Source organism: Homo sapiens, chromosome X (assembly GCF_000001405.40).
Source record: "Homo sapiens chromosome X, GRCh38.p14 Primary Assembly".
Classification (NCBI taxonomy): Eukaryota; Metazoa; Chordata; class Mammalia; order Primates; family Hominidae; genus Homo; species Homo sapiens.
Window position 1 is genome coordinate 65,167,279 of NC_000023.11, and position 13,132 is coordinate 65,180,410.

Genomic DNA, 13,132 nt, shown 5'->3' on the forward strand with positions numbered 1-13,132 from the left:
GCACCATTTATTAAATAGGGAATCCTTTCCCCATTTCTGGTTTTTGTCAGGTTTGTCAAAGATCAGATGTTTGTAGATGTGTGGTATTATTTCTGAGGGCTCTGTTCTGTTCTATTGGTCTATATCTCTGTTTTGGCACCGGTACCATGCTGTTTTGGTTACTGTAGCCTTGTAGTGTAGTTTGAAGTCAGGTAGCGTGATGCCTCCAGCTTTGTTCTTTTAGCTTAGGATTGTCTTGGGTATGTGGGCTCTTCTTTGGTTCCATGTTAAATTTAAAGTAGTTTTTGCTAATTCTGTGTAGAAAGTCATTGGTAGCTTTATGGGGATTGCATTGAATCTATAAATTACCTTGGGCAGTACGGCTGTTTTCATGATATTGATTCTTACTATCCATGAGCATGGGATGTTCTTCCATTTGTTTGTGTCCTCTTTTATTTCAGCAGTGGTTTGTAGTTCTCCTTGAAGAGGTCCTTCACATCCCTTGTAAGTTAGATTCCTAGGTATTTTATTCTCTTTGAAGCAATTGTGAATGTGAGTTCACTCATGATTTGGCTCTCTATTTGTTATTGGTGTATAAGAATGCTTGTGATTTTTACACATTAGTTCTGTATCCTGAGACTTTCCTGAAGTTGCTTATCAGCTTAAGGAGATTTTGGGCTCAGATGATGGGGTTTTCGAAATATACAGTCATGTCATCTGCAACAAGGGACAATTTGACTTCCTTTTTTCCTAATTGAATACCCTTTGTTTCTTCCTCCTGCCTGATTTCCCTGGCCAGAACTTCCAACACTATGTTGAATAGGAGTAGTGAGAGAGGACATCCCTGTCTTGTGCCACTTTTCAAAGGGAATGCTTCCAGTTTTTGCCCATTTAGTATGATATTGGCTGTGGGTCTGTCATAAATAGCTCTCATTATTTTGAGATACGTCCCATCCATATCAAATTTATTGAGAGTTCATAGCATGAAGGGCTGTTGAATTTTTTCCATGGCCTTTTCTACAGCTATTGATATAATCATATGGTTTTTATCTTTGGTTCGGTTTATATGCTTGATTACATTTATTGATTTGCATATGTTGAACCAGCCTTGCATCCCAGGGATGAAGCCCACTTGATCATGGTGGATAAGCTTTTTGATATGCTGCTGGACTCAGTTTGCCAGTATTTTATTGAGGAGTTTTGCATCTATGTTCATTAGGGATATTGGTCTAAAATTCTCTTTTTTTTTTTGTTGCGTCTCTGCCAGGCTTTGGTATCAGGATGATGTGGGCCACATAAAATGAGTTAGGGAAGATTCCCTCTTTTTCTATTGTTTGGAACAGTTTCAGAAGGAATGGTACCAGCTCCTCCTTGTATCTCTGGTAGAATTCGGCTGTGAATCCATCTGGTCCTGGACTTTTTTTGATTGGTAGGCTATTAATTATTGCCTCAATTTCAGAGCCTGTTACTGGTCTATTCAGCAATTCAACTTCTTCGTGGTTTAGTCTTTGGAGGGTGTGTGTGTCCAGGAATTTATCCATTTATTCTAGATTTTCTAGTTTGTTTTGTAGAGGTGTTTATACTATTCTCTGATGGTAGTTTGTATTTCTGTGGAATTGATGGTGATATCCCCTTTATCATTTTTTATTGCATCTATTTGATTCTTCTCTCTTTTTTCTTTATTAGTCTTGCTAGTGGTCTATTTTGTTGATCTTTTCAAAAAAACAAATCCTGGAGTCATTGATTTTTAAAGGGTTTTTTGTGTCTCTGTCTCCTTCAGTTCTGCTCTGATCTTAGTTATTTCTTGCCTTCTGCTAGCTTTTGAATGTGTTTGCTCTTGCTTCTCTGGTTCTTTTAATTGTGATGTTAGGGTGTCAATTTTTGATCTTTCCTGCTTTCTCTCGTGGTCATTTAGTGCTATAAATTTTCTTCTACACATTGCTTTAAATGTGTCCCAGAGATTCTGGTATGTTGTGTCTTTGTACTCATTGGTTTCAAAGAACATCTTTATTTCTGCCTTCATTTGATTATGTACCCCGTAGTCATTCAGGAGCAGGTTGTTCAGTTTCCATGTAGTTGAGCAGTTTTTAGTGAGTTTCTTAATCCTGAGTTCTAGTTTGATTGCACTGTGGTCTGAGAGACAGTTTGTTATAATTTCTGTTATTTTACATTTGCTGAGGAGTGCTTTACTTCCAACTATATGGTCAATTTTGGAATAAGTGCAATATGGTGCTGAGAAGAATGTATATTCTGTTGATTTGGGGTGGAGAGTTCTGTAGATGTCTATTAGATCTGCTTAGTGCACAGCTGAGTTCAATTCCTGGATATCCTTTTTAACTTTCTGTCTTATTGATCTGTCTAATGTTGACAGTGGGGTGTTAAAGTCTCCCATTTTTACTGTGTGATAGTCTAAGTCTCTTTGTAAGTCTATATGGACTTACTTTATGAATCTGGGTGTTCCTGTATTGGGTGCATATATATTAAGCATAGTTAGCTCTTCTTGTTGAATTAATTCTTTTACCATTATGTAATGGCCTTCTTTGTCTCTTTTGATCTTTGTTGGTTTAAAGTCTGTTTCATCAGAGACTAGCATTGCAATCTCTGCTTTTTTTGTTTTCCATTTGCTTGGCAGATCTTCCTCCATCCCTTTATTTTGAGCCTATGTGTGTCTCTGCACACGAGACGGGTCTCCTGAATACAGCATACTGATGGGTCTTGACTCTTTATCCAATTTGCCAGTCTGTGTCTTTTAATTGGAGCATTTAGCCGATTTACATGTAAGGTTAATATTGTTATGTGTGAATTTGATCCTGTCATTATGATGTTAGCTGGTTATTTTGCTCGTTAGTTGCTGCAGTTTCTTCCTAGCACCAATGATCTTTACAATTTGGCATGTTTTTGCCGTGGCTGGTACCAATTGTTCCTTTCCATGGTTAGTGCTTTTTTCATGAGCTCTTGTAAGGCAGGCCCGGTGGTGACAAAATCTCTCAGCACTTGTTTGTCTGTAAAGTATTTTATTTCTCCTTCACTTATGAAGCTTAATTTGGCTGGATATGAAATTCTGGGTTGAAAATTATTTTATTTAAGATTGTTGAATATTTGCCCCCACTGTCTTCTGGCTTTTAGAGTTTCTGCCGAGAGATCTGCTGTTAGTCTGATGGGCTTCCCTTTGTAGGTAACCCGACCTTTCTCTCTGGCTGCCCTTAACATTTTTCCCTTCTTTTCAACTTTGGTGAATCTGACAATTATTTGTCTTGGAATTGCTCTTCTCTAGGAGTATCTTTGTGGCATTCTCTGTATTTCCTGAATTTGAATGTTGGCCTGCCTTTCTAGGTTGGGGAAGTTCTCCTGGATAATATCCTGAAGAGTGTTTTCCATCTTGGTTCCATTCTCCCTGTCACTTTCAGGTACACCAATGAGACGTAGGTTTGGTCTTTTCACATAGTCCCATATTTCTTGGAGGCTTTGTTCATTTCTTTTCACTCCTTTTTCTCTAAACTTCTCTTCTCACTTCATTTCATTCATTTGATCTTCAATCACTGATATCCTTGCTTCCTGTTGATCAAATCAGCTACTGAAGCTTGTGCATGCGTCACCTAGTTCTCGTACCATGGTTTTCAGCTCCATCAGGTCATTTAAGTTCTTCTCTATACTGTTTATTCTAGTTAGCCATTCGTCTAATATTTTTTCAAGGTTTTTAGCTTATTTGTGATGGGTTAGAACATCCTCCTTTAGCTCAGAGAAGTTTGTTATTACCGATTGTGTGAAGCCTTCTTCTCTCAACTTGTCAGAGTCATTCTCCATCCAGCTTTGTTCCATTGCTAGAGAGGAGCTGTGTTTTTTTGGAGGAGAAGAGGCACTCTGATTTTTAGAATTTTCAGCTTTTCTGCTTGGTTTCTCCTCATCTTTGTGGTTTTATCCACCTTTTGTCTTTGATGATGGTGAAGTACAGGTCGGGTTTCGGTGTGGATGTCCTTTCTGTTTGTTAGTTTTCCTTCTAACAGTCAGGACCTTCAGCTGCAGGTCTGTTGGAGTTTGCTGCAAGTCCACTCCAGACCCTGTTTTCCTGGGTATCACCAGCAGAGGCTGCAGAATAGCAAATATTGCAGAACGGCAAATAGTGCTGCCTGATCCTTCCTCTGGAAGCTTCATCTCAGAGGTGCACCCAGCTGTATGAGGTGTCAGTCGGCCCGTATTGGGAGGTGTCTATAAGTTAGGCTACTCGGGGGTCCGAGACCCACTTGAGGAGGCAGTCTGACCATTCTCAGATCTCAAATTCCTTGCTGTGAGAAGCACTACTCTCTTCAAAGCTGTCAGGCAGGGACGTTTAAGTCTGCAGAAGTTTCTGCTGCCTTTTGTTCAGCTATGCTGTGCCCCCAGAGGTGGAGTCTACAGAGGTAGGCAGGCCTCCTTGATCTGTGGTTGGCTCCACCGAGTTTGAGTTTCCCAGCTGCTTTGTTTAACTACTCAAGCCTCAGCAATGGTGGACGCCCCTCCCCCAGTCTTGCTTCCACCTTTCAGTTCGATCTCAGACTGCTGTGCTAGCAACGAGTGAGGCTCCATGGGCATGGGACCCTCCGAGACAAGTGTGGGATATAATCTCCTGGTGTGCCGTTTGCTAAGACCATTGGAAATGCACAGTATTAGGGTGGGAATATCCCAATTTTCGAGGTACCATCTGTCACGGCTTCTCTTGGCTAGGAAAGGGAATTCCCCGACCCCTTGCACTTCCTGGGTGAGGCGATATCCCGCCCTGCTCTGTGGGCTTCACCCACTGTCCGACAAGCCCCAGTGAGATGAACCCAGTACCTCAGTTGGAAATGCAGAAATCACTCGTCTTCTGTGTCACTGACACTGGGAGATGTAGACTGGAGCTGTTCCTATTTGGCCATCTTGGAACCTCTTGATTTGCATTTCTATAATGACCAGTGATGACGATCTTTTTTTCATATGTTTATTGGCTACATAAATGTTTTCTTTTAAGAAGTGTCTGTTCATATCCTTTGCCTACTTTTTGATGGAGTTGTTTGTTTTTTCCTTGTAAATTTGTTTAAGTTCCCTGTAGATTCTAGATATTAGACCTTTTTCTGGTGGGTAAAAAATTTTTCCATTCTATATGTTGCCTGTTCACTCTGATGATAGTTTCCTTTGCTGAGGAGAAGTGCTTTAGTTTAATTAGATCCCATTTGTCAATTTTGGCATTTGTTGCAACTGCTTTTGGTGTTTTTGTCATGAAGACTTTGCCCATACCTATGTCCTGTATGGTATTAAGTTTTCTTCTAGGATTTTTATGGTTTTGGGTTTTACACTTAAGTTTTTAATCCATCTTGAGTTAATTTTTCTATAAGGTGTAAGGAAGTGGTCCAGTTTCTGTTTTCTGCATATGGCTTGCCAGTTTTTCCAGCACCATTTATTACATAGGGAATCCTTTCTACATTGTTTGTTTCTGTCAGGTTTGTCAAAGATCAGATTGTTCTAGATGTGTGGCATTATATCTGAGTCCTCTGTTCTGTTCCATTGTTCTATATAATTGTTTTGGTACGAGTAGCATGCTGTTTTTATTACTGTAGCCTTGTAGTATACTTTAAAATCAGGTAGTGTGATGCCTCCAGCTTTGTTCTTTTTGCTTAGGATTGTCTTGGCTATATGGGCTCATTTTTTATTCCATTTAAAATTTAAAGTAGTTTTTTCTAATTCTGCTTACAAAGTCAATGGTAGTTTGATGGTAATAGCATTGAATCTATAAATTACTTTGGGCAGTATGGCCAATTTCACATTATTGATTCTTCCTGTCCATGAGCATAGAATGTTTCTCCATTTGTGTCCTCTCTCATTTCCTTGAGCAGAGATTTGTAGTTCTCTTTGAAGACGTCCTTCCTGTGCCTTGTAAGTTGTATTCCTAGGTATTTGATTCTTTTTGTAGCAATTCTGAATGGGAGTTCACTCATGATTTGTCTGTCTGCTTATCTATTGTTGGTGTATAGGAATGCTTGTGGGTTTTGCACATTGATTTTGTATCCTGACACTTTGCTGAAGTTGCTTATCAGCTTAAGGAGTTTTAGGGCTGAGATGATGGTGTTTTCTAAATATAACATCATGTCTTCTGCAAACAAAGACAGTTTGTCTTTCTCTCTTACTGTTTGAGTATGCTTTATTTTTTTCTCTTGCCTGATTGTGCTAGTCAGAACTTTCAATACTATGTTGAATGGGAGTGGTTAGAGAGGGCGTCCTTGTCTTGTGCCAGTTTTCAAAGTGAATGCTTCCAACTTTTGGCCATTCAGTATGATATTGGCTATGGGTTTGTCATAAACAGCTCTTATTATTTTGAGATATGTTCCATCAATATATAGTTTATTGAGAGTTAATAGCATGAAGGGATGTTGAATTTTATCAAAGGCCTTTTGTGCATCTATTGAGATAATCATGTGATTTTTGTCATTTGTTCTGTTTTTGTGATCAATTACATTTATTGATTTTTGTATGTTGAACCAGCCTTACATCCCAGGGATGAAGCCAGCTTGATTGTGGTGGATAAGCTTTTTGATGTGCTGCTGGTGTTTTATTGAGGATTTTTGCATTGACGTTCATCAGGGATATTGGCCTGAAGTTTTTATTTTTTGTTATGTCTCTGATTTTTGAGACTGATGACCTTTGGATGGGGTTCTTATGTGGGGGTCCTTTTTTTTGATGTTGATGTTATTGCTTTCTGTTTGTTAGTTTTTCTTCTAGCTGTCAGGCCTCTCTTCTGCATGTCTGCTGCAGTTTGCTGGAGGTTCACTCCAGAAACTGTTTGCCTGGGTAACACCAGTGGAGGCTACAGAATAGCAAAGATTGTTGCCTGCTCCATCCTCTGGAATCTTCATCCCAGAGGGGCACCAGCCTAATGCCAACCAGAGCTCTCCTGTATGAGGTGTCTGTTGACCCCTGCTGGGAGGTGTCTCCCAGTCAGGGGGCACAGGATCAGGGATGCACTTGGACATCAGGGATGCAGTCTGTCCCTTAGCAGAGCTCAAGTACTGTGTTGGAAGAATACTCCTTGTTTTTCAAAAGTGACGTTGTGTAAAAATGGACTTTTATCCATCCAAGGATTGAAACTTTTATCTAAATTTCCACTTCCTTTTGGCAGAATAACAGTAGCTGCTCTGAAGATGTGCCAAGATCTGCTTCTCTCTTCAGAGCCAGCAAGCAGGAATGTTTAAGTCCACTGAAGCTGCGCCCACATCCACCCCTTCCCCAGGTGCTCTGTCCCAGGGAGATGGGAGTTTTATCTATAATCCCCTGTCAGGGGCTGCTGCCTTTCTTTCAGAGATGCCCTGCCAGCGAGGAGGAATCTAGAGAGGCACTGTGGTCACAGCCGCTTGCTGCGCTGTGGTGAGTTCTGCCCAATCTGAAGTTCCCGGCCTTCTTAGCACTGTCAGGGGAAAACCGCCTACTCTAACCTTAGTAATGGTGGACACTTCTCTTCCCACCAAGCTCAATTGTTCCAAGTTGACTTCAGACTGCTGTGCTCGCAGTGAGAATTTCAAGCCAGTGGTTCTTAGCTTGCTGGGCTCCATGAAAGTGGGACCTGCTGAATGAGACCACTTGGCTCCCTGCCTTCAGCCTCATTTCCAGGGGAGTTTACAGTTCTGTATTGCGGGGGTTCCAGGTGCCAATGGAGGAAAAAAAAACAAAAAACAAACAAAAAAAAAAAACTCCTGCACCTAGCTTGCTTTCTGCTCCAAAAACCACCCGGGTTTGTGCTTGAAACCCAGGCCCCTTCAGTGTAGGTGCATGAGGGAATCTTCTGGTCTTGGGTTTGCAAAAACTGTGGGAAAAGCACAGTATCTGGGCCAGATAGCACAGTTCCTTGCGGCTTCCCTTGGATGGGGGACAGAGGTCCCTGGCTCCTTGCACTTCCCAGGTGAGGTGACACCCCACCCTGCTTCTGCTTACCCTCCGTGGGCTGCACCCACTGCCTAACCAGTCCCAGTGAGATGAACTGTGTACCTCATTTGGAGATGTAGAAATTACCCCCCTCTGCATTGGTCTTTCTGGTAGCTGCAGAGCAGAGCTGTTCCTTTGGCCTTCTTGCCAGATCTCTCTCCGTTTTGCATGTAACATTTTTTTTTTTACTTAAAAATTTCCCCCATGTCATGAAATTTATTTGTAAACATTTTTGATTGCTACATAGGAACCAATGTAATGACTATCCAGCTCAAGAATTTCTAATTTGAAAATATAAAGATTGAAATGTTCCAAAATCAAAAACTTTTTTGAGCAAGTGAAATATTCCATACCTGAACTCATGTGATGGGTTACAGTCAAAATGCAGTCAAACTGGTAGCTGGCAAGATGGCCGAATAGGAACAGCTCTGGTCTGCAGCTCTCAGTGAGATTAATGCAGAAGGTGGGTGATTTTTCCATTTCGAACTGAGGTACCTGGGTCATCTCATTGGGACTGGTTGCACAGTGAGTGCAGCTCACAAAGGATGAGCCAAAAACTCATGAAGCACGGTGGGGCGTTGCCTCACCTGGGAAGCTCAAGGGGTTGGGAAACTCCCTCTCCTAGCCAAGGGAAGCTGTGAAAAACTGTGCCATGAGAGACGCTGCATTCCAGTGAAGATACTACGCTTTACCCACAGTCTTTGTAACCACAGACCAGGAGATTCCCACAGGTGCCTACACCACTGGGGCCCTGGGTTTCAAGCACAAAAGTGGGTGGCCATTTGGGCAGACACCAAACTAGCTGCAGGCATTTTTTTTCATGCCCCAGTGGCGCCTGGAACACCAGTGAGACAGAACCATTCACTACCCTGGAAAGGAGGCTGAAGCCAGGGAGCCAAGTGGTCTAGCTCAGCAGATCCCACACCCACGGAGCCCAGCAAGCTAAGATCCACTGGCTTGAAATTCTAGCTGCCAGGACAGCAGTCTGAAGTCAACCTGGGATGCTCGGGCTTGGTGGGGGGAGGGGATCCCACCATTACTGAGGCTTGAGTAGGCAGTTTTCTCCTCACAGTGTAAAGAAAGCCACCAGGAAGATCGAACTGGGTGGAGCACACCACAGCTCCAGAAAGCCTCTATAGCCAGACTGCCTCTCTAGATTCCTCCTCTCTGGGTAGGGCATCTCTGAAAGGCAGGAGCCCCAATCAGGGGCTTATAGATAAAACTAACATCTCCCTAGAACAGAGCACCTGGGTGAATGGGCAGTTGTGGGCGCAACTTCTGCAGATTTAAGTGTTCCTGCCTGGCAGCTCTGAAGAGAGCAACAGATCTCCCAGCACAGCACTGGAGCTCTGCTAAGGGACAGACTGCTTTCTTAAGTGGGTCCCTGACATAATAAAAACTGATGGAGGGGATAACACCGCTGATCCCACAGAAATACCAACTACCATCAGAGAATACTATAAACACCTTTATGCACACAAACTAGAAAATCTAAAAGAAATGGATAAATTCCCGGACACATGCGCCCTCCCAAGACTAAACCAGGAAGAGGTCAAATCCCTGAACAGACCAATAACAAGTTCTGAAATTGAGGCAGGAGCTAATAGCCTACCAACCAAAAAAAGCCCAGGATGAGACGGATTCACAGTCAAATTCTACCAGAGGCACAAAGAGGAGCTGGTACCATTTCTTCTGAAACTACTCCAAACAACAGAAAAGGAGGGACTCCTCCATAACTCATTGTATGAGGCCAGTGTCATCCTGATAGCAAAATCTGGCAAAGAAACAACAACAACAAAAATTTCAGGCCAATATCCTTGATCAACATTGTTGTGAAGATCCTCAATAAAATACAGGCAAACCAAATCCAGCAGCACATTGAAAAGCTTATCCACCATGATCAAGTCGGCTTTATTGCTGGGACACAAGGATGGTTCAACATACACAAAGCATTAAACATAATCCATCACATAAACAGAAGCAATGACAAAAACTTCATGAGTATCTCAATAGATGCAGGAAAGGCCTTCAATAATATTGAGCACCTCTTTATGCTAACAGCTCTCCAGAAACTAGTTGTTGATGGTACATATCTCAAAATAATAAGAGCTATTTATGCAAACCCACAGCCAATATCATACTGAACGGGCAAAAGCTGGAAGCATTCCCTTTGAAAACAGGCAAAAGACAAGTGTACCATCTCTCACAACTCCTATTCAACATAGTATTGGAAGTTCTGGCCAGGGCAATCAGGCAAGTGAAAGAAAGAAAAGGGTATTCAAGTAGGAAGAGAAGAAGTCAAATTGTCTCTGTTTGCAGATGACATGAATGTATTTTTAGAAAACCCCATCGTCTCAGTCCAAAAACCCCTTAAGCTGATAAGCAACTACAGCAAAGTCTCAGGATACAAAATCAATGTGCAAAAATCACCAGCATTCCTATACACCAGTAATAGACAAATAGCCAAATCATGAGTGAATGCCAATCACAATTGTGACAAACTGAATAAAATACCTAGGAATACAACTTAAAAGGGATATGAAGGACCTCTTCAAGGAGAACTACAAACCACTGCTCAAGGAAATAAGAGAGGACACAAACAATTGGAAAAACATTCCATGCTCATGGATAGGAAGAATCAATATCGTGAAAATGGCCATAGTGCCAAAAGTAATTTATAGATTCATTGCTGTCCCCATCAAACAACCATTGACTTTCTTCACAGAAAAAACTAAGTTTTATATGGAACCAAAAATAGCCTGTATACCCAAGACTATCCTAAGCAAAAAGAACAAAGCTGGGGACATCATGCTACCTGACTTCAAACTATACTACAGGGCTACAGTAACCAAAACAGCATGGTACTGGTACAAAAGCAGATACATAGACAAATAAAACAGAACAGAGGCCTCAGAAATAATGCCACACATCTACAACCATCTGATCTTTGACAAACCTGAGAAACACAAGCAATGGGGAAAGTATTCCCTATTTAATAAACAGTGTTGGAAAAACTGGCTAGCCATATGCAGCAAACTGAAACTGGATGCCTTCCTTATACCTTATACAAAGATTAACTCAAGATGGATTAAAGACCTAAATGTAAGACGTAAAACCATAAATACCCTAGGGGAAAACCTAGACAATACCATTCAGGACATACGTATGGGCAAAGACTTCATGACGAAAACACCAAAAGCAATGACAACAAAAGCCAAAATTGACAAATGGGATCTAATTAAACTAAAGAGCTTCTGCACAGCAAAACAAACTATCATCAGATTGAACAGGCAACCTGCAGAATGTGAAAATATAATTGCAATCTATCCATCTGACAAAGGGCTAATATCCAGAATCTACAAGGAACTTAAACAAATTTAGAAGAAAAAAACAACCTTATCAAAAAAGTGGGCGAAGGATGTGAACAGACACTTCTCAAAATAAGACATTTATGCTGCCAAGAAACATATGAAGAAAAGCTCACCAACACTAGTCATTAGAGAATGGCAAATCAAAACTGCAATGAGATACAATCTCATGCCAGTTAGAATGGTGATCATTAAAAAGTCAGGAAACAACAGATGCTGGAGAGGATGTGGAGAAATAGGAACACTTTTACACTGTTGGTGGGAGTGTAAATTAGTTCAACCATTGTGGAAGAGAGTGTGCAATTCCTCAAGGATCTAGAACCAGAAGTACCTTTGACCAGCAATCCCATTACTGGGTATATACCCAAAGGATTGTAACTTATTCTGCCATAAAGACACATGCACATGTACGTTTATTGCAGCACTATTTTCAATAGCAAAGACTTGGAACCAATGCAAATGCCCATCAATGATAGACTGGATAAAGAAAATATGGTACATATACACCATGGAATACTATGCAGCCATAAAAATGATGAGTTCCTGCCCTTTGAATGGACATCGATGAAGCTGGAAACCATCATTCTCAGCAGACTAACACAGCAACAAAAAACCAAACACCACACGTTCTCACTCATAAGTGGGAGTTGAACAATGAGAACACATGGACACAGGGAGGGGAACATCACAGAGTGGGGCCTGTCGGGGTGTTGGGGGTAAGGGGAGGGATAGCATTAGAAGAGATACGTAATGTAGATGACGGGTTGATGGTTGCAGCACACCACCATGGCATGTGTATACCTATGTAACAAACCTGCATGTTCTGCACATGTATCTCATAACTTAAAGTTATTTAAAAAAAAAAAAGATCTAAAAAAGGGCTAGAGAAGCAAGGGCAAACAAATTCAAAAGCTAGCAGAAGACATGAAATAACTAAGATCAAAGCTGAACTGAAGGAGATAGAGACACAAAAAACCCTTCAAAAAATGAATGAATCTAGGAGCTGGGTTTTTTAAAAGACTAACAAAATAGATAGACCACCAGCCAGACTAATAAAGAAGAAAAGGGAGAAGAGTGAAATGGACACAATAAAAATGATAGGATGTCACCACTGATCCAACAGAAATACAAACTATCATCAGAGAATACTATAAAAAACCTCTATGCAAATAAACTCTATGCGAATTGCTACAAAGAAAATCTAGGAGAAATGGATAAATATCTGGACATATACTCACTCTCAAGACTAAACTAAGGAAGAAGTCAATTCTCTGAATAGACCAATAACAATTTCTGAAATTGAGAAATTAATTGTCTGTCCACCAAAAAAATCCCAGGACCAGATAACTTCACAGGTGTATTCTTCAAGAGGTATAAAGAGGAGCTGGTACCATTCATTCTGAGACTATTTTAAACAATAGAAAAAGAGGGACTTCTCCCTAACTTATTTTATGAGGCCGGCATCGTCCTGATACCAAAACCTGGCAGAGACACAACAAAAAATGAAAATTTCAGGCCAATATCCCTGCTTAACTTTGATGCCAAAATCCTCAATAAAATACTGGCAAACCAAATCTAGCAGCACATCAAAAAGCTTATCCATCATGATTAAGTTGGCTTCATCTCTGGCATGCAATGCTGGTTCAACATACGCAAATCATTAAACATAATCTGTCTCATAAACAGAACCAATGACAAAAACCACATAATTATCTCAATAGATGTAGAAAAAGCGTTTGATAAATTTCAACATCTCTTTATGCTAAAAACTCTCAATAAACTAGGTATTGATGGAACATATCTCAAAATAATAAGAGGTATTTATGTCAAATCCATAGCCAATATCATACTGAATGGAC

The 13,132-nt window shown here is 40.9% G+C and overlaps 1 protein-coding gene across 14 annotated transcripts in view, besides 1 other annotated feature; it reads left to right on the top strand.

Annotated features, from left to right (window-relative positions):
* The window catches only part of ZC3H12B (zinc finger CCCH-type containing 12B), a 473,062-nt gene that overhangs the window by 132,453 nt on the left and 327,477 nt on the right, over positions 1 to 13,132 (top strand). The window lies entirely within an intron of this gene.
* Positions 7,221 to 7,386: a silencer, noted in NCBI's record as "fragment chrX:64394379-64394544 (GRCh37/hg19 assembly coordinates)". NCBI's record gives its function as "represses an EF-1alpha promoter that drives an FKBP-Casp9 reporter gene in an ReSE screen in phorbol 12-myristate 13-acetate-treated (for megakaryocytic differentiation) K562 erythroleukemia cells {active_cell/tissue: K562(+PMA)}" and the evidence as "EXISTENCE:reporter gene assay evidence [ECO:0000049][PMID:32094911]".